The 23,371-nt window shown below is 40.3% G+C and overlaps 2 long non-coding RNA genes across 6 annotated transcripts in view; both read left to right on the top strand.

The window, feature by feature from the left end:
* The window catches only part of LOC102724081 (uncharacterized), a 59,691-nt gene extending 49,283 nt beyond the window's left edge, over positions 1-10,408 (top strand). Inside the window, exons 2-4 of one of the 5 annotated variants that reach the window (XR_002959433.2) lie at positions 3,714-3,895; positions 4,295-5,365; positions 10,186-10,408. This is a non-coding gene — a long non-coding RNA (uncharacterized LOC102724081). Of the gene's footprint in view, positions 1-2,096; positions 3,020-3,713; positions 3,896-4,294; positions 8,474-8,581; positions 8,679-10,185 lie in introns of those variants that run through there. The other 4 variants (XR_007087286.1, XR_007087285.1, XR_001739767.2 and 1 more) reach the window with 4 other exon arrangements.
* A 675-nt stretch (positions 10,409-11,083) lies between these two features.
* LOC105373734 (uncharacterized) overlaps positions 11,084-23,371 on the top strand; it is an 80,567-nt gene continuing 68,279 nt past the window's right edge. Inside the window, exons 1-2 of the long non-coding RNA XR_923559.3 lie at positions 11,084-11,446; positions 16,641-16,736. This is a non-coding gene — a long non-coding RNA (uncharacterized LOC105373734). The remainder of the gene's footprint in view (positions 11,447-16,640; positions 16,737-23,371) is intronic.

The following is a 23,371-nucleotide window of genomic DNA, read 5'->3' as shown; positions in this document are numbered from 1 at the left end:
TTAAAAAATGAAAATGAGATGAACTGACAATGATGAGAGGGTACTCAGCTGCCTGAAAAGAACAGAGAAATAATTGACACTTCAATGTAAAAGGATTCTTTAAAGCTCTCCAGTGTGGCAGACAGTTGAATCACATCTTGAGCAAATATTTCCAGCATATAAAGGTGACATATTTGGAAAAAAAATACTATTCTTTTTGGTCAACTATTCCTTTTGGTCACTCAGATTATATCTGGTTGACTCAAAATAAAACAGGTAAAATCCATTTTTTAAAAGAAAAGTTATTAATGAATGTTCTAAAAAGTTGCCCATTATTTTCAGTTTTTTCTTTTTTGCAATGAGCAGCTGTTAAACTATGAGAATCCAGCTTCAGAGTATATTTATTGTATTGTTTGCAAATTTGTATTAAACATTGCCCTGGAGACTACGAAAATTAGTAACATATCCTAAAATACTTTTTGTGGGACTTCACTGTTCACTTTTATATGCATTATCTCATCTTGATTAAAATCTCCAGAACATTTTATGTCACTCCCATAGATCTTCTGTCAAGGATTCTTGAGTTGATAAAATCAAAATTGCAGACTGTTGATTTGAAACTCATGTTAATTTATACAGTTTCAAAATGATGAAAACTCAGTCTTCTTTAAAACCATAGCTCCCCTTTTCTATACATACATCTTTTAGTACACACCGGTCGATTCAATGTGGAAAATCCTCAGATGCTGGCTTTGCATGCTGAGATAATAGGGTTTTGAAAGGGCATTTGACTAACGCACTTTGATTTCCAGCAAAAACATGTAGTACGAAGATTGTCACCAGCCAAGGACCACTAGTAAAATATGATAAGGTTCAGTTTGTTTGTTTGTTTTTTAAAGTCAAGGAGCATTCTAACCCTAAAATGTCATCCTCAGAATGACTGTCATTCAAGAGGAGGCCTGAAACCAGTAAGAAAGCCTTTAGGCACTGTTGTCTGGGCACTGAGGCTCCATCTGCAATCTGCACATGAGCTGGCTGAGGACACCTTGTCCTGGGGAGTCTTTTTGTGTTCTCACCATCAGGCCAAGTAGCTCACACTGCCCAAAAGTTCACCAACTGTAATTTGATGATTGGTAACTGAAAAAATAGAGTATGATGGTACTTCTTTTCTCTTTTTCAAATCTTGTGCTAATTTATATTTAAATCCTTCTAAGTATTCAGAGAGATAAAGCAAAGCTTTCTTCCCTCACATGGCCATTTAGAGCAGAGTGTGGATTGCCTCACTATATGCTTTTTACACCCAATAAAGCTTAGAGAGAAACTGAGTTCCCAGGAGCCTGAGAGTTGATAGTTTTAAAACCCCTCTCATCAGCATTTGAAAGGTGCCATTGAATTTTCAATCAATATTAACCCAAGATGTTATGGTTGTGAGAATAGAGTCATTTTCTGAGGGCATTTATGTATATAACTAACAGGAAGGAAAGTATGTTATCTTAAAAAATTGAATGACGTTGAAAATTCCACACTGATGGATCTTTAGTAACAAACAGGTTTGGGAGGGGATAGGCTGAAAGACTGTGGGAAAATAAGAGAAGGCTTTAGGGTCATGGTCATGGTACTTGTTCATTTTTATAACAAGTAATTTAGACTGTCACCATGACTATCTTGAAATAAAATTTAAATGAACTTAAAAAATTGAATATACTTTCCTAATGGTAATATAAAGGAGAAATAAAAGGGAAGCAATTTGAGGAATACATAAAAATATGTCTACCATATACAAGTGTTTGGCCAGGAGGACACTACAAAATACACAATGAAGGAGTAAGATGCTTGTGGGACTCACAGAATCTGGAAAATGAAGAGGGTAACACTCAAGCTCTGAACCTCAGGTGTTGCCTTGACAACACCACATGCACTGTTGCCATCTTTAAAGATGTGACATCTCTAAATAGCAAAGACCCTTGAGGGAGTTCCAAACCAAATGCAGTCTTCCCTCAAAAAGTCCCAAATATTTTGTCTTTGTATGTAAAACAGAGTCAGATTCTAGACTCAGATAATTATAAACAGTGTTTTTTTTAACCTGGGGACATTTGAAAACGACAGGAGATGACAGATAATTTTTCATTGTGTGTGGCTGTCCTGTACATTGCAGGAAAACTAGTATCTCTGCTCTCTCCCAAATGTCAGCATTGACTCCCAAACATTGCAACATCCAAAAATATTGCTATAAATTCCTCTGTGGGCACGACCTAGGAAGAAAGAAGGCCCACTAACCACGGCTGGAGGCAAGTTTCTAAAAAGACAAGCAGTAAGAAATTCCCAGAGTGGTCTTGTATTGCATTTTAAGCAGTTACTATGCTGAAATCTCCTATTTTTGGCCCTAAACCTTCAGCAAAGCTGGAGAATCAGTCTTGGGGATAAGTAGCCATAAGTAATGCCCCATATCATACCATGAAGTTTGGTGAAGACTTCGCCACTCCTACCACAGAGCACAGACCAATCAGTGTGCCTAGTTGCCACTACTGCTAGACTTTCTGCCGTCATTGACTCAGGAAACCAAACGCAGCTCCACAGGCATCACCCTCAACTGCCTCAGGACTGCTGGGTCTCTGCTTCTCCACATCCCTGGCGTCCACAACCAAGTGGGGTGAATGCATCTGATTGGCTCAGCTTCTGTCACGTGCCCTTGTCTTAACTGCAGGGGAGGCTGGGAAAATGTTCAAGCTTCTTCAGCTTCCATAGGCAGGTTCTGCTTCCCTCAAACTTAGGAAAGGGCTTCAGATGTGGAGCAGCCTAAAAGAATGACACATGCCCACTCTAATTAGCTGGCCAAATTAGTTCTACAGAAGAGAAGTACCTTGGGATTTCGGAGCAGAAAGTGATGATTCTGAGGAGGCTTTAGAGGAGGGGAGATTTGATCAAGTCTTGAAGGATGAGAAAGTTGGTAGGGTTGTAGGTAGGGATAGGAGAAGGATTTCGAGAGACACATATGGAATGACAATATTAAGAATGCTGAACTGGGGAAAACAAATGCAAGGTTAGGAATCCAAGTTCACCAGAGCTGAAAGGTCAAGGGGAGTCGGTGAAAGACAAGACTGGAAAGGGCAGGAACAGCACTGGGGAGTTACGGAGGGTTTGACGACAGTGCTAGGAGGTAGCTCTGAGCTGCTTGACAGGGGTATTTGCATATCTTTCGTATTCACTTGCACTGCTTTATCAAAAAATAATGTCCTTGGCAATTTGAATCCCAGTCTTTAAGATAACACATCTGTGTTTATGAATTACCAGGAGTCTTTTTGTTTTTTGTTTGTTGCTTTTGTTGCTGCTTGTTTTTGTATTCTTTCTGGTAATGGGACTAACTCCTTTTTACTTTGAATTTGTATTACACTGTATCCACAGAGAAATTTCACAAGTGTCTTTTACATTATTTTAACAATCACCCCCCCACCACCTACAACTTTAAATTAAATATCATGATCCATTATTTCCAGCACTTGTTGCCCACCTAACATGTACCAGACTCCTTATTTAATGCTTTCACCAGGATATTTAATTTCATCTTAAAATTATCCTTTAAATACAAAGACATAGGATCTGAGAGAGTAAGTAATTTGCCCAATGGCACCCAGTTAGGAAGTGGTGGGATAGGGGTTCTAACTCAGTTCTGCCTAATCTAATTCCTGATTGTTTCTCCCAATCAGAATGCAGTCTGAAATGATGCTCTTTTTTAGCGCTGTGCTAGCAGGAAGGTCTGTGAAGTTTGCAATAAAGCCATTATGAAGTCAAGAATGGAGGTTCCATTTTTAAAGAACTCAGAGGGGGTAGATCTTGATTGACATCTCATCTGGGGTCACCTGGTCTTCAACTGAGAGATCTTTTGGTTCGCCACGGATGCCCCTTGCAGTTATGGAAGGTAAGTATAGTCTTTAAGCCATTTTTGCTTGGTTGTCCCAACAACCCTGCCTTGAAGTGATATAAACTACCTTCCTTGGAACAACCTTGGTGGTACCAGGTACTCAGGTGCTGCCTATTTGGTGCACCCTTGTGCAGTAAAGTTACACCTGAAGGAATCTACTGCACTCTTGCCTCATCTTCTGAACCAAGGGCTCCAAGTCCTCTAGAGTAGTAAGACAAACCAACATCCGTGGACTAGAGGTTATGATGGAGAAACAAGGGTAAGTGGAGTCCAATAATAACAAGCTATTTTTGTGTCCGCTTCATCCTCACCCCACCAAAGCTTGAGCAGAAACTTTATGATGTGGTCCATTCAGTTTAACCTCTAACATTTGCTTTCCCTTTTTTTTTTCTCTAGTTCACTCTTTGAGAGAGAGATAAATAAACATTAAAATGTAAAGAAAAAAAAAATCAGCAATGGAAGGAAAAAGGAACAAAAAGCAATCCATTGGCGTCAAGCTTGACTGGACCACTCCACTGCTCTGCTGCCGTTAGTGAACCTGACCCTGCAGCAGGAGTCACAGACTCACCACTCACCTCAAGTCCTCACTCCCTGGACCCTCAATCTACACATCACTTTGTCTTTTATTTCCCTGAGAAATACAGGCCATCAGTTTGCAGATCCCTCCTTTCCCCTTACCCTGCAAATCTCCATCTATTTGGAAAAGTGTGCCTCCTACATTCCAAAGCTAACCCCTCCTCCTCTGCCACTAATATCAGCCCTACCTGCCTTCTTCTGTAACTTGCTCCATTAATTCCCTCCCCTCTCCCCCAGGTCTCCCTGCCTATGAACATATTCAAGGACATCATATCTTAAAAACAAACAAATATCAGGCACAATGGCTCACACCTGTAATCCCAGCACTTTGAGAGGTCAAGGCAGGAGAATCACTTGAATCCAGGGGTTCAAGACCAGCCTGGGAAACATAGGGAGACCCTATCTCTACAAAAAATATTTTTTAAAAAAATTAGCCAGGTGTGGTGGTGTGCACCTGTAGTCCCAACTACTCAGAAGGCTGGGGTGGGAGAAATATTTCAGCCCAGGACGTCACTGTGCACAATTGCTTTACTTTTTTTTCCCTTGGTATAGACTTGTTGAAGAGTAAGCCTTCATGTACTGTTTCCTCACTTTACATTCACTCTCAACTGGAGACAATATAGAGTCTTCGCAGATGCAGCTTTCTCCAGACCAACAATGTGGTTAGACATCTGGTTTTTCATTGTTGTTGTTTGATTTCTCTGACTAGCTTCCCTGACCAGAGGTCGTTTTGAGTTTCCTTCTCTGGAATTTGACCACTGAGCAGAGACACATAGGAGAGAAGACGTGAATGCTGAGTCATCAATCAGCATCACTGGGAAGAAAAAGCCTCTCAGTTTCTTCTGCTGGGACTCCCAGAGCTGGAGTATTTTCTGCTCTTCCTAAGGCCTGGTAATTCAGCTCTTTGTGAGACTGTGAGCTTTACCATACCCTTCCAGTAGCAACCTTCTTCTTTTTTAAGTTCATTGCGGGGAATAGGGAGTGATGGCTGATGGACATAGGGTTTCTTTTTGGGGTGACAAAAATCTTCTAAAATTAAGTGGTGGTGATGGTTGCACAATTTTGAATATACTAAAAACCGTGAATTCTAAAGTTTAAACAGGTGAATTCTGTGCTATATAAATTGTATCTCAATGAAATTACTAATATTCTAAAGCCTCCCAAGTGACTTAGATGTTCGGTGAGTGTTGAAAGCCAGTTATTTATCACATCCTTAAGTCCTGCTACCTTTCTCTCACTCTCTAAGTTCAGTTTCCTCTTTGGTTTGACTTGGACCAATCTGCAACAACTCTTGATGTTTCTTGTAAATTCTATGACTAACTCCCAGAGCTTCTCCTGTCTATCTGATACGCATTTAGCTTCTCCTTTCAGGCCTCAAACAGCATGTTTAGAACAGAACTGATCTTCTTCTCCCCAACCTGCTTTACCTTTTCTATTTCTCACTCAGTTACTGGCACAAACTTCTCCATATATGTTTAAGAAGACCTCTACTTTGACTTTCCCTGCTCCTTCTAACTTACATCCAATTAATCAAAACGTTGTATCAGTTTTATTTCTGAAACAATCTCTCCCATCTTCCTTATCTCTTCATTCCACTGCCAGGTCTGAGTCCACCCTTTACTATTTTCTGTTGGATTAAGGCAAACCTCCTGTAAAGAGCTGCCCTGTCTCCTGCAGTCTCATCCTCCAGTACCCCTTCATGCCTACACTGAAGTCCTCTTCCTAAAACAGGAATAGGGTTAACTCACTCACCTCCCCTAAACCTGTTAGTGGCTCTGCACTGAGTACTGGATCAAGTCTAATGTAATGAGAAGGCCCATTCAATCTGGGCCAAACTTTCCTTCTTAGCCTAGTGTCCTCCTATGCCCCCTGCACAGACCTTAGCTCCAATCACACTAACCCATGCCATTACCTGGACACACTGTGCTAGTCTACACTCACGTGCCCCCAGCTCACATCTCCCCTTTTCCTGGAATGCCATGTCCATATGGCCTGGAGAATGACCTAAAGTTAGTGCCAGCAGAGAGCTTATCAGTAGTGGGGCAGATCACAGGGGAGAGCAGGTTTTGGAGCTAGGGTGAGGTGTCAATGAGAAGAAGGGTGATTTATTAAGAAGTAAGCTCATTTCAAGCCATACACCTGAAACCTGACGCCCAAAGAGGAGGCAGAGACCCAATCAACTACTGATACAGTTTGTGAGGCTGGAGACTTGAGAGAACAATAGGTTGAGGCAAGTGTAACCAATGGATTAATTCCTTACCAATCTAGGATTCCTGGAGCGTGGAGTGCTCCAGGCCTGGTGGCACCAAGACTTTAAAAAGAAAAACCATTACACAGTGAGATTTGGTCTCTACACAAAATTTAAAAATTAGTGTGGTGTGGTCGCACACAACTGTAGTAACAGCTACTCAGGAGGCTGAGGTGGGAGGATCGCTTGAGCCCAGGAGTTTGAGGCTTCTAGGAGTTTGAGGCTTGCTATGTTGCTCAGGCTGACCTCCAGCTCCCGGGCTCAAGAGATTCTCCCGCCTCAGCCTCCTGTGTTGTTGGGACTACAGGCACGCACCACCATGCCCTGCTGGTTAGCTGTTTTTAAAAATTATTTTTAAAGCATCATTAAATTTCTCATACTGAAAAAAATGGCCTGGATACTTTAAGAAGAATAAGACAGATTTGAGCATTCAGCAATCATAGCTGAACTTCCTAAGAGACTATAGCAAGCTGGTTACTAGGGAAATTGTTTTTTTCCTTACTGAAAAAAAATCCGGTGTTAATATATCATTTTAGATGTGTAATGTTTAGGGGTCCTTATTGTTCAAGGAATATAAAGTAAGAGGGGCCGTCTCTCATTGTATAATATAAAACAAAAAAGAAAAAGTATTGATCTCAGAGAGAAAGTAAATTGTAGCTAAATTAGAGGAAGAAAATCATGCCTCTTATTTATCCTTGACTCCCCACTGACCAGCACAGTGCTCAAGAAATTTATTAAATGAAAAAAGAATCAGAAAAAAAATTAAAGGAAGAAAAAGAGGAAGGAAGAAAGTTAGGAAGGGAGGGAACATATCTTAAAAGAAACTGTAAACCAGTCTGTTCTGGTTTTTTTTTTTCCCCTCCTAGTTGCCAATTGAAGTTTCTTCTTAAAAATAACCCTATGTCAACTGAACTAAGTTAAAACGTGCTAACCTGGGAAAGATAAAAAGAAACATTATGTCTCTATAGGTTCTTTGTGATGAAACAAATCCGCCTCAACCCAGAACACTAGCAAAGCGTGGGGTAAGGCAAATAAGACTTAAAAATTTTGATGATTTGTAGAAAACAGAAGTTCACAGTTCAGCAGTTCCTTCTTGCTTGGGATGATCTTCACAACACCAGCCCCCAAATGGAAGGGTAACTAACTGCTCCAGTTCAGTTGGCTACCTTGTGAGGCTGGCATCCATTCCTAGCAAAAATGGGCAGAAATGGGGAAATGCCTCCCCTTAAGACCATAGCTTTTCACCTTGACCTTCCTCCATTTTATCTACTCCAGAAGGTCTCCACCAAGCTCCCAGCAGCACAGCATGCTCAAAACCTGACATATCCATGGTAACTTTTCACAGCAATGTGATGAAATTTGAGAAACAAACCAGAAATGTAATGTGATCACCCACATCATATCAGCCTCACAGGCAATCAAGAGCTTGGCTTCAATTACAAAATGAACTCCAGAAATCTTCCAACAGTTAGTCAATCCCAGCCTTTCACATGAAAATGTATTTAATTTACATAATACTGTGAAGAAGGTATTGTTATGATCCTCACTTTGCAGCCTATGGAAGTAGGGATTAGTCCTTGATGAAGAGTCAGAAGATGTATGTACTTTCAAAAGTGATTTAATATGGAAACTGGAAAAAAATTATAAAACATGTAATGGAATCCTAAATAGGATACTGATAAGGTTTGGCTCTGTGTCCCCACCAAAGTCTCACCTTGAATTGTAATAATCCCCACGTGTCAAAGGCAGGTCCAGGTGGAGATAATTGAATCATAGGGGTGGTTTTCCCCATACTGTTATGATAGTGAGTTCTCATGAGATCTGATGGTCTTATAAGGGGCTTTCCCCCTTTTGCTCAGCACTTCTCCTTGCTGCTGCTGTGTGAAGAAGGATGTGTTTTCTTCCTCTTCCTCCGTGATTGTAAGTTTCCTGAGGCCTCCTCAGCAATGCTGAACTGTGAGTCAATTAAATCTCTTTCCTTTACAAATTAACCAGTCTTGGGTATGTCTTTATTAGCAGCATAAGAACAGACTAATACAGATACCCAAAGTCATTGGTATTAGGACAAAGGAGCAGAAATTCATAAAGGAAAGACAGAGACACAGAGAGATGGCTGACTTTTTTCTTAATGCCAGGTTTTAGAAATGAAAGTATTTAAGGCTTTGATAATATATATTATCAAATTATATTTCAAAGTGTGGTAATAATCTACAGTCCTTCCCAAAAGTCCTGAAAATGTTTATTTCATTTCATTAGATATGATACATTTAAAAGTCCTTAAACCTTGATACACAAGAATATATACAAATAATTTTGCACTTTCTTCAACATTTTCTTGTATGTGTGATAAATACATTTCCTATTCTGTGTATTATCATTATGGTTTTTATACTTTTCATGTTTTAATATTTTAAATTATTTTATAACAAACGTATTAACCTTTAAAAAGAAGACAAATGTAGACTGTCTTTAATTACATTCTGCATTAGAAACCATAAATATTTTAGCATTCAAATTCATGCAGTCGAGAAGAGTCTTAAAAAATTCTGTAGGTGTTCAAATGAAAATATAAAGAGATTGGAGAAAAATTGATCTCAAGCAAGAGAGAGAATAAAAATCACTCGTAAGAAGTATAGGTGTTCTCATGGCTAAATTTGGCAGTGGTGGTAAAAATGGGAGGTGTAGATAAGAAGATTTCAAATAGAAGAAATAATCAAGAATATATCCTTAAAACGCTGAGTTGAAACATAAAACTGAAATACCATTATATAGGTGATTCTATTATGCAACCAGAGTTGAGAACCACAGATCTCATTGATTTATGCAGTCCTTTCCATCAAGAACCCTCTCTGACTTTAAATTCAATGTATCAGTACATTGATATTTTATCACATCCACTTCCTTTCTGTCCGTAGTCACCTTGGATGGACAGTTTACACAATAATTTGTAGAAATAATAATAATAAAATAATGTGGAGAAGAGTTTCCACAATAATTTTTGGAATTTAATGATTTTGACATTACACATAGTCTTAATGGTTTGATAGAAACAAATGTGTGACTTGATAAAAGATCAGCTGATCTCATGAATTCTTAAACACAGCTCTTTAAGGAATTTTTCCTTTTATAAGGAATCATCATCTTAGAAAAACATTTAAGCTTTTAATATCATTGGACTTGCTATTATTTTTAGTTTATGAATTTTTTTAAAAAAATTAGAAATGAATTAAAATTAATGGCAGAAATACCTTCAAATACTTTCACACTGACTAATCTGAATGGGGTTAGGGACAGATGACAGCAACTCAAAATGACACAGAGGAAGAAACTTCAGACTTCCTGGGGATTTTCTGGTAAACTCTGACTAAAAACTAACTCCTCTGATTGTGCAGCAATGTTCCCTGCTAACATAGCCTTCCTTTTGGACTACCAGCTTTTTTTTTTTTTTTTTTTTTTGAAACAGAATCTCACCTTGTCACCCAGGCTGGAGTGCAATGGCATAATCTCAGCTCACTGCAACCTCTGTCTCCCAGGCTCAAATGATTCTCCTGCCTCAGCCTCCTGAGTAGCTGGGATTACAGGCGCCCATGGACTACCAGCTTTTTAAGTAGACTTTTTAGCCAAAGGCCAAGGGAAACTACCCTCTTCCTACTGGGGTTCAAATTGATTAAAATGGTTTGCTTTGACTTTTGTTGAAGTCTCTTTATTTTCTTTTTAAGATTATGTTAAATTATAATCCACATTGGCTTTCTTTTTACAGGTAAACTTTTTCTCTTCTAGATTTCTAGACGGCCTTCCCCCACTTCGCTTCTCTCTCTGCCATTTTCCTCCCCTCTCCCGCCTCCCCAAGTTAGAAGAGGCTGACAAAAAGAGGCTCATCAAAGTTAAATGTTGCCAACATAAATTGGTCCCTCTTCTCTTCCTTGATGTGACTGGTCTCTCAACCTATTGATGGCATCCAGTTCCAACTTTCCTCTTCTCATTTGGGACATTGGGAGGAGAGTAGTCTCTATTTTTAATAACAAAGTAGTAAGTATGTAATGCCTCTCTTGACTGTGCAAAAGACCAAAACTGGAGAACATTTTATGCTTTGATTTTCTTTCTCTTTGTTAAAACTTAGATAAATTATCTCTTGGGAATGGAATGTTCCAGGCCTTTCTGTTTCATCCTCTCTTAGTAACAGTGTATCGTTGTGGGTTTACAGGTGAAGAAAATATCATCAAATGACAAATGGCCATAAAGATCTCTCACCCAGATTATCTAATGGTTTTACTTATGCACAGAGACTGTAGGCTCTGACTTTTTAGAGTTTTATAATCCTTTTAATAACACTTTTTTTCATTTATAGAGAACTACAGTCAGGCAGGCAGAGTATTTTCTGATTTGGATGAGTTCATAAGACATGTACATTATGGGAATTATATGATTGCTCCACCTGCATCACATCTGGACCACCTCTGGACTGAGCTGTAGGGATGCAGGGAAACCCTGCTAAGTGTCAAGCTGCACCCTGTCCTGCTGGTGCCCATGCCTAGACCCTCATTCCATTGTTCACAGAATTCTATGCCTTGGGATTTTGTCTCTACTTGTCCAGAACTCCTAATTCCTTCACTCTTCCACATTCTAGGTCCTCCTCTATCAATTTAAGTACCAGATCCCTGTCAGCTGCCTTCCCCAGACATTAAGTCAGAAGCTCAGTTTGATGGCAGGGTGTGTGTTTCCAGGTATGGAAGGGTCATGGGGGAAGCCACCACTCTCTCTGAACATATTCCCACCAAATGGCGATTATTCCAACAATTTCTCAAAGTATATGTTAACATAATGATTTTTAAGACTTAGTAGAAAAGCCCTTAAAGAAGTGAAATATGAGAATGAAACATGGCGATGAGATCATGAATTGAATAGAGAAGGGAGTTGAAAAGTTCAGCCAACCCATCCCTTCTGCACATCCAAAAGTAGGGTTCAGTCTGGGGGACTTTGTGTGCTTGGCTTCACACAAGAAAGAAGTCAAAAGCGATCTGACAGAAAAAAAGCAAGAGGAAGTTGAATGAAATAAAGGAACAAAGGGAAGACTGCTCCATAAGCAAAGTAGGGTTACCCCATAGGCAGAATAGCATTGTGGGCTGCTCACTTGTTATATTTGTGATTATTTCTTGATTATATGCTGAATAAGGGATTGATTATGCATGAGTTTTTTGTAAAAGGGGCAGGGAACTCCCAGAACTGGGGTTTTCTCCCCAGTTTAGACCATTCAGGGTAACTTCTGAGTGTTGCCATGGCAACTGTACACTGTCATGGCACTGATGGGAGCGTTTTTTAGCATGCTAGTGAATTATAATTCATGGATAATGAATAGTGAAGGTCACTTTCACTCCACCTTGGTTCTAGATGGTTTATTTATTTATTTATTTATTTATTTATTTATTTATTTATTGTTGAGACAGAGTCTTGCTCTGTTGCCCAGGCTAGAGTGCAGTGGTGAGATCTTGACTCACTGCAACCTCTACCTCCCAGGTTCAAGCGATTCTTCCGCCTCAACCTCCCAAATAGCTGGGACTACAGGTGTGCACCACCATGCCCAGCTAATTTTTGTATTTTTAATAGAGATGAGGTTTCACCATGTTGGTCAGGCTGGTCTTGAACTCCTGACCTCGTGATCTGCCTGCCTCAGCCTCCCTAAGTGCTGGGATTACAGGTATGAGCCACTGCCCCCGGCCTGGTTTCTTTATTGTTATCCTCTTAGCAGCAGGGGCTTGTGACCTGTTGTTTACTGTCTCCTGTCTTATCAGTGGGGTCATGTGGCCTGTTGTCTTGGAGACTACGACTGCCAATTCCTATCTCAGTTCTGTGGGCTGCCAGGCTCAGTCCAGGGTGGATAGACCAGGGACAAGGGTCTGCTCTGAGCATCTCACCTGCCCGAACTCATGGCATCTTCCTACCCTTCCCTGCTTTACGTCATCCTCTCTGAACTTGCCTCTTCCATCCTGTTGACTTGTGGTATGTGCCATTCCACTACAAATCCAACCAAAGTCACACTCTTGTTCCCCTCAACCTCTTGCCCCACAACTCATAAGACACAGTCATTCCTTTAAACTGGGCTATAGTCTGGTTGGAAACCCCCATGAGCAGAACTTAAAACAAGGAGGGCAGGAGAGATGGCAAAGGAAGACTGTTTGGCCCTGACTTCTTATTCACAAAGAACTCATAGATTTTTAGCCTGATCTTTTATTGCGGCATTACATACAACCACAAAGATAATGACAGGATTAAAAGACAAACATATTCATCATAGAAATTTACATTTTTGTCTTTCATATGTCTACTATGATTTCATATCTTTCATGATTTGTAGCTGATGACTAGCATACTTACTTTATTATAATTTGTATCAAAAGCCTACTGTTAATTGTAAACAATATATAATCATTGTAGGTCTATTTTGCTATTTCATCATTTTTAATATGCTAGAGCCTCAGGAAAAAAAAAAAAGAGGCGGCCCAAATTTCTCTTGTTTTCTGAGTGGCTCTATAATAATATGACAATATATGATGAGCACTATTGCTACTCAGAATTTGAAGTTAGCATGGACTGGCATAACAGAAGATAAATTTCAGGAGAGATGAACTTTAGTCTTTCCCTCTTCTACTGTTATTATGCCTTACCAGAGATTTTCACCTTTTTGGCCTCTTACACAAAAAGAATGTAGTATTTTCTTACCACTGACGTCTTACCTAAGCCTCAAGGGAACTGGCACCTCTGCTTCATTTGCTATTTACTCTCAGCTCACTAATGCATCATGCCCATGCTCTGTTAGCTGGAAGAGTCTGAGGAGTTGCAGGAAGGAGTCTCTCGGGGTAATTTTTCTCTATCCTCTCTCCTACCCACCCTTCCACCCCCACCACAACCAGAATCAAGTCTTTCTAAAAGAACTCAAAGAATTCCCCACAATGAACTTGGCTTTCAGACCCTCTCTTCTGTTTTTCTTTCCATACCTAACCAGTCCTGTTCAGAAAAGTGATCTGATTATTCTAATCAGAGACCTTTTAGAAAAGAAAATTCTAAAGACACTTTGGGCATTTGATCTGCATATGTACATTGTATGAAAGCAATTTATAAGTACCTTTTTAAAACTTTGCTTACCTGTGAGAGATTCAAAGGGAAAAAGTTACAAAGAGTAATAAAGCAGATGTCTTATTTGGCTATTTTGAATTACACATTTTAAATATTTTGTCCTGGGACCTGGCATGGTACCTCACGCCTATAATCCCAGCACTTTGGGAGGCTGAGTTGGGAGGATTGCTTGAATGCAGGAGTGTAAGACTGCAGTGAGCTATGACTGCACCACTGTACTCCAGCCTGGGTAATAAAGCGAGACCCTGTCTCTATAAATCAATCAATCAATCAATAAATATGTTGTCTCATTGGCTCTTAATCTTTTATTTATTTAAGAAATAACACACTACATATATAGATCAGTGTTCTTTAAACCCTATCTCCAGGATTATTCCCTCCCCACTTTCCACACCCTTCTCTACTTGTGTGTTTGAAGTGTTGTCTGTTTTCTTCCAGTCTATTCTGCAAGAGAATTACATTAATCTCCATGTAGTTTTACATATATCTAAATATAGATATGTGTACCGATACTTATGTACACATATATACTATGTCTGCATTTTAATGCTATGCATAAGATAAAAATACATGTAATATTTTCTTTTTTTTTCTTTCTTTTTTTCTTTTCTTTTCTTTTTTTTTTGAGATGGATTCTTGCTCTGTAGCCAGGCTGGAGTGCAGTGGCACGATCTCCGCTCACTGCAACATCTGCCTCCCAGGTTCAGGCAATTCTCCTGCTTCAGCCCCTCAAGTAGCTGGGATTACAGGTGCCTGCCACCATGCCTGGCTAATTTTTGTATTTTTAGTAGAGACAGGGTTTTGCCATGTTGGCCAGGCTGGTCTCAAACTCCTGACCTCAAGTGATCCAACTGCCTCGGCCTCAAAGTGCTGGGATTACAGGCGTGAGCCACCGCGCCCGGTCATATTTTCTTTTATATATGGTTAATATACATAAACAGCATCATCTTGAATGTATCAATCTCTATCTTGCCTTTCTTTTTCAGCATTGCTTTTGGTGTCTATTCATATTAATATTTATAAAGTTAAAGACCTTTTAAACTACCACTGAATATTAAATTGCATGGATATAATACATTTCATCCCTTCATTCCCTCATTGATGGTCATTAAGGTTTTTCCACTTATTTACTGTTAACAGTGCTTCCATGAATATCCTTGATGTTTCTCCTTTTTGTAATATCTGTGTTTTTCTAGAGAGTGTACTGAGACATAGAATTAATGGATTACAGGATATGTATATTTTTACGTTTACTAGATGCTACCATGTCATATTCCAAAGCGTCATACCAGTTTCTGCTCCAGTTTCTATTGTCCTTTTAAAATTAATCTGTAGGACTTCTATATACATGACGTGAATATTAATCCTTTGCTAATTATTGTGCTAAAAATACTTTTCCCAGTCGTTTGCTTTTCTTTCAACTTTTTTCATAGTGTATTTAACTATGTGGACATTTTAATTTTAGCATAGTCCAACTTATCATATATTTTTCCTTTTAATTGATGGTTTTTGTTTTATTTAAGAAATACGTAACTGTTACATTTCTTATTCAAAAATTGCCTTGACTATTCATGTACTTTGACTCTTCTTTATGAATTCTGGAATTAGCTTGTCAAAATTTCTGAAAAATTATTTTGTAATTTTTATTGGAGTATATTGAATTTATTGATTAAATTGAGAAGATATTTTAAATAATAATATGTCCTTTCAGTTTTATTTATTCAAGTTGTCTTAATATGTCCTCTAAAAAAGTTTATAATTTTCCTATAAAAATCCAACTTTTGAAAAATTAATTTCTTGGCATTTTATACTTTGTGCTGCTCTTTGGAATGATTTGGTGTAAAGAAATTGGTATAAAAATACTATCGATTTTTTTTTAATTTATTTTTTATGTTTTAAGTTTTGAGACAGGGTCTCGCTCTCTCACCCAGGCTGGAGTACAGTGGCAAAATTATGGCTCACAGCAGCCTCAACCTCCTGGGCTTAAAGGATCCTCTCACTTCAGCCTCCCAAGTAGCTGGGACCTCCGGTACTCACCAACATGACTGGCTAATTAAAAACTTTTTTTTGGTTTGTTTTTGTTTTTTAGAGATGGGGTCTTACTGTGTTGCCCAGGTTGGTCTTGAAGTCCTGGGCTCAAGTGATTCTCCCACTTTGGCTTCCCAAAGTGCTAGGATTATAGGCATGAGTCACCACATCTGGCCTCACTGAGAAAATTTTGCTGAGTTATCTTATTCATTAAAATAGTTTTTCCACTTCTTGTCCTGACTCTTGATAAGATTATCATATCATTTGCACATAATGACAACTTTGTCTCTTTCAGAAATGAACAATGTGGTTAACTTTTAAATTTCCAAACCACAATAAATTGAATAATGCTTAGTCTAACTGATACATTCTCTAATATTTTTACTGCTTATTTTCTACATTGACTAGGACTCCTAGGACAGTATTGAAAAGTTATGGTCTCCTCACTCTAATGGAAATACTTTAAAAGTTTTATCATTAAATCTATTTGCTGAAGGATTTTTAAAAAATATTCTTCTCTTATTAGGTTAAGGGATTTTCTTATTTTCCTAATCTGCTAAAAAAAATTCTTTTCATGAGTAAGTGTGTGATATGGTTTGGCTATGTCCACCCAAATCCTATCTTAAATTGCAGCTCCCATAATCCCCACATGTCATGGGGGGGTCCTGCTGGGAGGTAATTAAATCATGGGGACAGGTTTTTCCCCAGCTGTTCTTGTGATAGTGAATAAGTCTCACAAGATCTGATGGTTTTATACAGGGAACATGCTCTTTTGCCTGCAGCCACATAAGACATACCTTTGCTCCATCTTTACCTTCTGCCACGATTATGAGGCCTCCCCAGCCACATGAAACGGTGAGTCCGTTAAACCTGTTTCCTTTATAAATTACCTAGACTCTGGTATGTATTTATTAGCAGTGTGAGAATAGACTAATACGGTAAATTGGTACCAGTACAGTTGGGTACTGGTGTAAAGATAACTGAAAATGTGGAAGTGACTTTGGAACTGGGTTACAGGCAGAGGTTGGAACAATTTGGAGGGCTCAGAAGAAGATACGAAAATGTGGGAAAGTTTATAACTTCTTAGGTACTTGGAGGACTCAGAAGACAGGAAGATGTGGAAAAGCTTGGAACTTCCTAGAAGCTTGTTGAATGGCTTTGACCAAAGTACTGATAGTGATACAAACAATAAAGTCCAGGCTAAGGTGGTCTCAGTTGGAGATAAGGAACTTGTTGGGAATTGGAATAAAGGTCTCTCTTGCTATAGAAAGAGACTGGCGGCATTTTGCCCCTGCCCTAGAGATCTGTGAAACTTTGAACTTGAGAGAGATGATTTAGGGTATCTGGCAGAAGAAATTTCTAAGCAGCAAAGCATTCAAGAGGAAGCAGAGCATAAAAGTTTGAAAAATTTGCAGGCTGATGATGCAGTAGAAAAGAAAAACCTATTTTCTGAGGAGAAATTCAAGCCTGTGGCAGAAATTTGCATGAGTAGTGAGGAGCCAAATGCTAATCGCCAAGACAATGGGGAAAACATCTCCAGCACATGTCAAAGATCTTTGTGGCAGCCCCTCTCATCACAGGCCCAGAGGTTTAGGAGGGAAAAATGGTTCCTTGGGCCAGGTCCACAGTCCCCCTGCTGTGTGCAGCCTTGGGACTTGGTGCCCTGAATCCCAGCCACTCCAGCTCTGGCTAAAAAGGTCCAAGGTACAGCTCATGCCATGGGTTCAGAGGATGTAAGCCCCAGGTCTTGGTAGCTTCCACATGGTGTTGAGCCTGCAAGTATACAGAATTCAAGAATTGAGGTTTGGGAATCTCTGCCTTGATTTCAGAAAAATGTATGGAAATGCCTGCATGTCCAGGCAGAGGTGTGCTGCAGGAGTGGAGCTCTCATGGAGAACCTCTGCTAGGGCAGTGTGGAAGGGAAATGTAGAGTCAGAGCCCCCACACAGAGTCCCCACTGGAGCACTGCCTAGTGGAGCTGTGAGAAGACAGCCACCATCCTCCAGACCCCAAAATGGTAGATCCACAAACAGCTTGCACCATATGCCTGGAAAAGCTGCATACACTCAACACCAGCCCCTGAAAGCAGCTGGGAAGGGGTCTGTGGCAAAGCCACAGGGGCAGAGATGCCCAAGGCCACTGGAGCTCACCTCTTGCATCAGTGTGACCTGGATGTGAGACATGGAGTCAAAGGAGGTGAGATCATTTTGGAACTTTAAGGTTTAATGACTGCCCTATTGGGTTTTGGACTCGCATGGGACCTGTGGCCCCTTTGTTTTGGCCAGTTTATCCCATTTGGAGCAGGTGTATTTGCCCAACGCCTAAACCCCCATTGTATCTAGGAAGTAATTAACTTGCTTTTGATTTTACAGGCTCATAGGTAGAAGGGACTTGCCTTGTCTTAGATGAGACTTTGAACTTGGACTTTTCAGTTAATGCTGAAATGAGTTAAGACTTTGGGTACTGTTGTGAAGGCATGATTGGGATTGAAATGTAAGCATATGAGATTTGGGAGGGGTCAGGGGTGAAATGATATGGTTTGGCTGTGTCCCCACCCAAATCTCATCTTTAAATTAGCTCCCATAATCCCCATGTGCTGTGGCAGGGACCCAGCAAGAAGTAATTTAATCATGGAGACAGGTTTTTCCTGAGCTGTTCTCATGATAGTAAATGAGTCTCATGAGATCTGATGGTTTTATAAACGGCAGTTCCCATGCACATGCTCTCTTGCCTGCCACCATGTAAGATGTGCCTTTGCTCCTACTTTGCTTCCTGCCAAGATTATAAGGCCTCCCTAGCCATGTGGAACTGTGAGTACATTAACCCTCTTTTGCTTTATAAATTACCCAATCTCTGGTATGTCTTTATTAGCAGCGTGAGAACAGACTATACGGTGTGCCTTATAGAATGTTTTTTCTATAGCCATTGAAATAATCATTTGAAAAATCAACTAATTTCATGAACAATATTGATAGTACATAGATTTCTGCTACTGATCATTATTTTATTTCTGGAATATATAGTACCTTATCATCAGCACATGTTAGATTCAATTTGCTTACGATTTATTTAGAAAGTTTGCATCTGTCTTGTTTATTACACAATTAAAAGCAGTGCCTGACTGTGTTCCATTTAAATATTTGCCTTTAATTTTGCTACTTTGACTTATTAAGGATCTGAGAAAATAAATAAAATATCATTTCTTCAAGGAGAACTTCTCCACACTCCAGCCTAAATTAGATCCCTTTTAAACCCTCTTATAGCATCCTGTATTATAATTATACACTTATCTGGAAAGTTGTTTATTGACTGAGTTATCAACTAGGCTTTAAGTTTCATAACAACAGGGGATTCCATCTATTTAATTCACTGCTATAATCTTAGTGCCTAACCTGTGAACAGTATGAGGAAATTTCAAATTGAAGTTTCTAGGAAAATTGAATTAAAAGTAGATCCAGGCAAGATGGCCAAATAGGAACAGCTCCAGTCTGCAGCTCCCAGCAAGATCAACACAGAAGGTGGGTGATTTTGCCATTTCCAACTGAGGTATCCAGCTCATCTCATTGGGACTGGTTAGACAGTGGGTGCAGCCCATGGAGGGTGAGCAGAAGCAGGGTGGGGCATCACCTCACACAGGAAGTGCAAGGGGTCGGGGAACTCCCTCCCCTAGCCAAGGGAGGCTGTGAGGGACTGTGCTGTGAGGAACAGTGCATTCTGGCCCAGATGCTACGCTTTTCCCACAGTCTTCGCAGCCCATAGACCAGGAGATTCCCTTAGGTGCCTACACCACCAGGGCCCTGGGTTTGAACCACAAAACTGGGTGGCCATTTAGGCAGACACTGAGCTAGCTGCAGGAGTTTTTTTTCAAACCCCAGTGGCACCTGGAGCACCAGTGAGACAGAACCATTCATTCCACTGGAAAGGGGGCTGAAGCCAGGGAGCCAAGTGTTCTAGTTCTGCAGATCCCACCCCCATGAAGCCCAGCAACTAAGATCCACTGGCTTGAAATTCTCACTGCGAGCACAGCAGTCTGAAGTCAACCTGGGATGCTTGAGCTTGGTTGGGGGAGGGGCGTCTGCCATTACTGAGGCTTGAGAAGGAGGTGGTTCCCCCCTACAGTGTAAACAAAGCCACTGGGAAGTTTGAACTGGGCACAGCCCACCGCAGCTCAGCAAAGCCGCTGTAGCCAGACTGCCTCTCTAGATTCCTCCTCTCTGGGCAGGGTATCTCTGAAAGAAAGGCAGCAGCCCCAGTCAGGGGCTTATAAATAAAACTCCCATCTCCCTGGGACAGAGCACCTGGGGGGAAGGGGTGGCTGTGGGCACAGCTTCAGCAGACTTAAATGTTCCTGCCTACTGGCTCTGAAGAGAGCAGCAGATCTCCCAGCACAGTGCTCAAGCTCTCCTAAGGGACAGACTGCCTCCTCAAGTGGGTCCCTGACCCCCGTGTATCCTGACTGGGAGACACCTCCCAGCAGGGGTCGACAGACAGCTCATTCAGGAGAGCTCTGGCTGGCATCTGGCAGGTGCCCCTCTGCGACAAAGCTTCCAGAGGAAGGAACCGGCAGCAATCTTTGCTGCTCTGCAACCTCCACTGGTGATACCCAGGCAAACGTGTCTGGAGTGGACCTCCAGCAAACACCAGCAGACCTGCAGCAGCGGGGCCTGACAGAAGGAAAACTAACAAACAGAAAAGAATAGCATCAACATCAACAAAAAGGACATCCACACAAAAACCCCATCTGCAGGTCACTAATGTCAAAGACCAAAGGTAGGTAAATCCACAACGATGGGGAAAAACCAGTGCAAAAAGGCAGAAAATTCCAAAAACCAAAACGCCTCTTCTCCTCCAAAGAATCACAACTCCTTGCCAGCAAGGGAAAAAAACAAAACTGAGAATGTTTGATAAATTGACAGAAGTAGGCTTCAGAAGGTGGGTAATAACAAACTCCTCCAAGCTAAAGGAGCATGTTCTAACTCAATGCAAGCAAGCTAAGAACGTTGAAAAAAGGTTAGAGGAATTGCTAACTAGAATAACCAGTTTAGAGAAGAACATAAATGACCTGATGGAGCTGAAAAACACAGCATGAGTACTTAGTGAAGCATACACAAGTATCAATAGCCGAATCGATCAAGTGAACGAAAGGATATCAGAGTTTGAAGACCAAATTAATGAAATAAAGCATGAAGACAAGATTAGAGAAAAAAGAATGAAAAGGAACGGACAAAGCCTCCAAGAAATATGGTACTATGTGAAAAGACCAAACCTACATTTGATTAGAGTACCTGAAAGTGACAGGGAGAATGGAACCAAGTTGGAAAACACTCTTCAGGATATTACCCAGGAGAACATCCCCAGCCTAGCAAGAACGGCTAACATTCAAATTCAGGAAATGCAGAGAACACCACAGAGATACTCCTCAAGAAGAGCAACCCCAAGACACATAATCGTCAGATTCACCAAGGTTGAAATGAAGGAAAAACTGTTAAGGGCAGCCAGAGAGAAAGGTCGGGTTACCCTCAAAGGGAAGCCCATCAGACTAACAGTGGATCTCTCTGCAGAAACCCTACAAGCGAGAAGAGAGTGGGGGCTAATATTCAACATTCTTAAAGAAAAGAATTTTCAATCCAGAATTTCATATCCAGCCAAACTAAGCTTCAAAAGTGAAGGAGAAATAAAATCCTTTACAGACAAGCAAATGCTGAGAGATTTCGTCACCACCAGGCCTGCCTTACAAGAGCTCCTGAAGGAAGCACTAAAAATGGAAAGGAAAAACCGGCACCAGCCACTGCAAAAACATACCAAATTGAAAAGACCATCGACACTATGAAGAAACTGCATCAACTAATGGACAAAATAACCAGCTAGCATGATAATGACAGGATCAAATTCACACATAATAGAATTAATCTTAAATGTAAATGGGCTAAATGCCCCAATTAAGAGAGACTGGGCCGGGCGTGGTGGCTCACGCCTGTAATCCCAGCACTTTGGGAGGCCGAGGTGGGCAGATCACAAGGTCAGGAGATCAAGACCATCTAACACAGTGAAACCCTGTCTCTACTAACAATACAAAAAATTAGCCGGGCATAGTGGCGGGTGCCTGTAGTCCCAGCTACTCGGGAGGCTGAGGCAGGAGAATGGCGTGAACCCGGGAGGTGGAGCTTGCAGTGAGCCGAGATTGCACCACTGCACTCCAGCCTGGGTGACAGAGTGAGACTCTGTCTCAAAAAAAAAAAAAAAAAAAAAAAAGAGAAACTGGCAACTTGGATAAAGAGTCAAGACCCATTGGTGTGCTGTATTCGGAAAACCCATCTCTGTGCAAAGACATACATAGGCTCAGAATAAGGGATGGAGGAATATTTACCAAGCAAATGGAAAGCAAAAAAAAAGCAGGGGTTGCAATCCTAGTCTCTGATAAAACAGACCTTAAACCAACAAAGATCAAAAAAGACAATGAAGGGCATTACATAATGGTAAAGGGATCAATTCAACAAGAAGAGCCAACTATCCTAAATATATATGCACCCAATACAGGAGCACCCAGATTCATAAAGCAAGTTCTTAGACACCTATCACACGATAATAGTGGGCGACTTTAACACCCCACTGTCAATATTAGACACATCAAAGAGACAGAAAATTAACAAGGGTATTCAGGACATGAACTCAACTCTGGACCAAGTGGGCCTAATAGACATCTACAGAACTCTCCACCCCAAATTAACAGAATATATATTCTTCTCAGCACCACATCGCACTTATTCTAAAATTGACCACATACTTGGAAGTAATTTAAAATAATTTTTAAAATAATTACTTTTAATATAATTTTAAAATTATTAAAAAATAATTTAAAAGAACTAGAGAAGCAAGAGCAAACAAATTTAAAAGCTAGCAGAAGACAAGAAATAACTAAGATCAGAGCAGAACTGAAGGAGATAGAGACATGAAAAACCCTTCAAAAAATAAATGAATCCAGGAGGTGGTTTTTTGAAAAGATTAACAAAATAGATAGACTGCGAGCCAGACTAATAAAGAAGAAAAGAAAGAAGAATAAAATAGGCACAATAAAAACTGATAAAGGGGATATCACCACTGATCCCACAGAAATACAAACTACCATCAAAGAATACTACAAACACCTCTATGCAAAATAAAACTAGAAAATCTAGAAGAAATGGATAAATTCCTGGACACATACACCCTTGCAAGACTAAACCAGGAAGAAGTCGAATCCCTGAATAGACCAATAACAAGTTCTGAAATTGAGGCAGTAATTAATAGCCTACCAACCAAAAAAAGCCCAGGACCAGACAGATTCACAGCCAAATTCCACCAGAAGTACAAAGAGGAGCTGGTACCATTGCTTCTGAAACTATTCCAAACACAGAATCCTCCCTAACTCACTTTATGAAGCCAGCATCATCTTGATACCAATACTTGGCAGAGACACAACAAAAGAAAATTTCAGGCCAATATCCCTGATG

The sequence above is a fragment of the Homo sapiens genome, chromosome 2 (genome assembly GCF_000001405.40).
Source record: "Homo sapiens chromosome 2, GRCh38.p14 Primary Assembly".
Taxonomy (NCBI): Eukaryota; Metazoa; Chordata; class Mammalia; order Primates; family Hominidae; genus Homo; species Homo sapiens.
The sequence above is the reverse complement of the archived record's forward strand: the minus strand, read 5'-3'. Positions and strand labels throughout refer to the sequence as shown.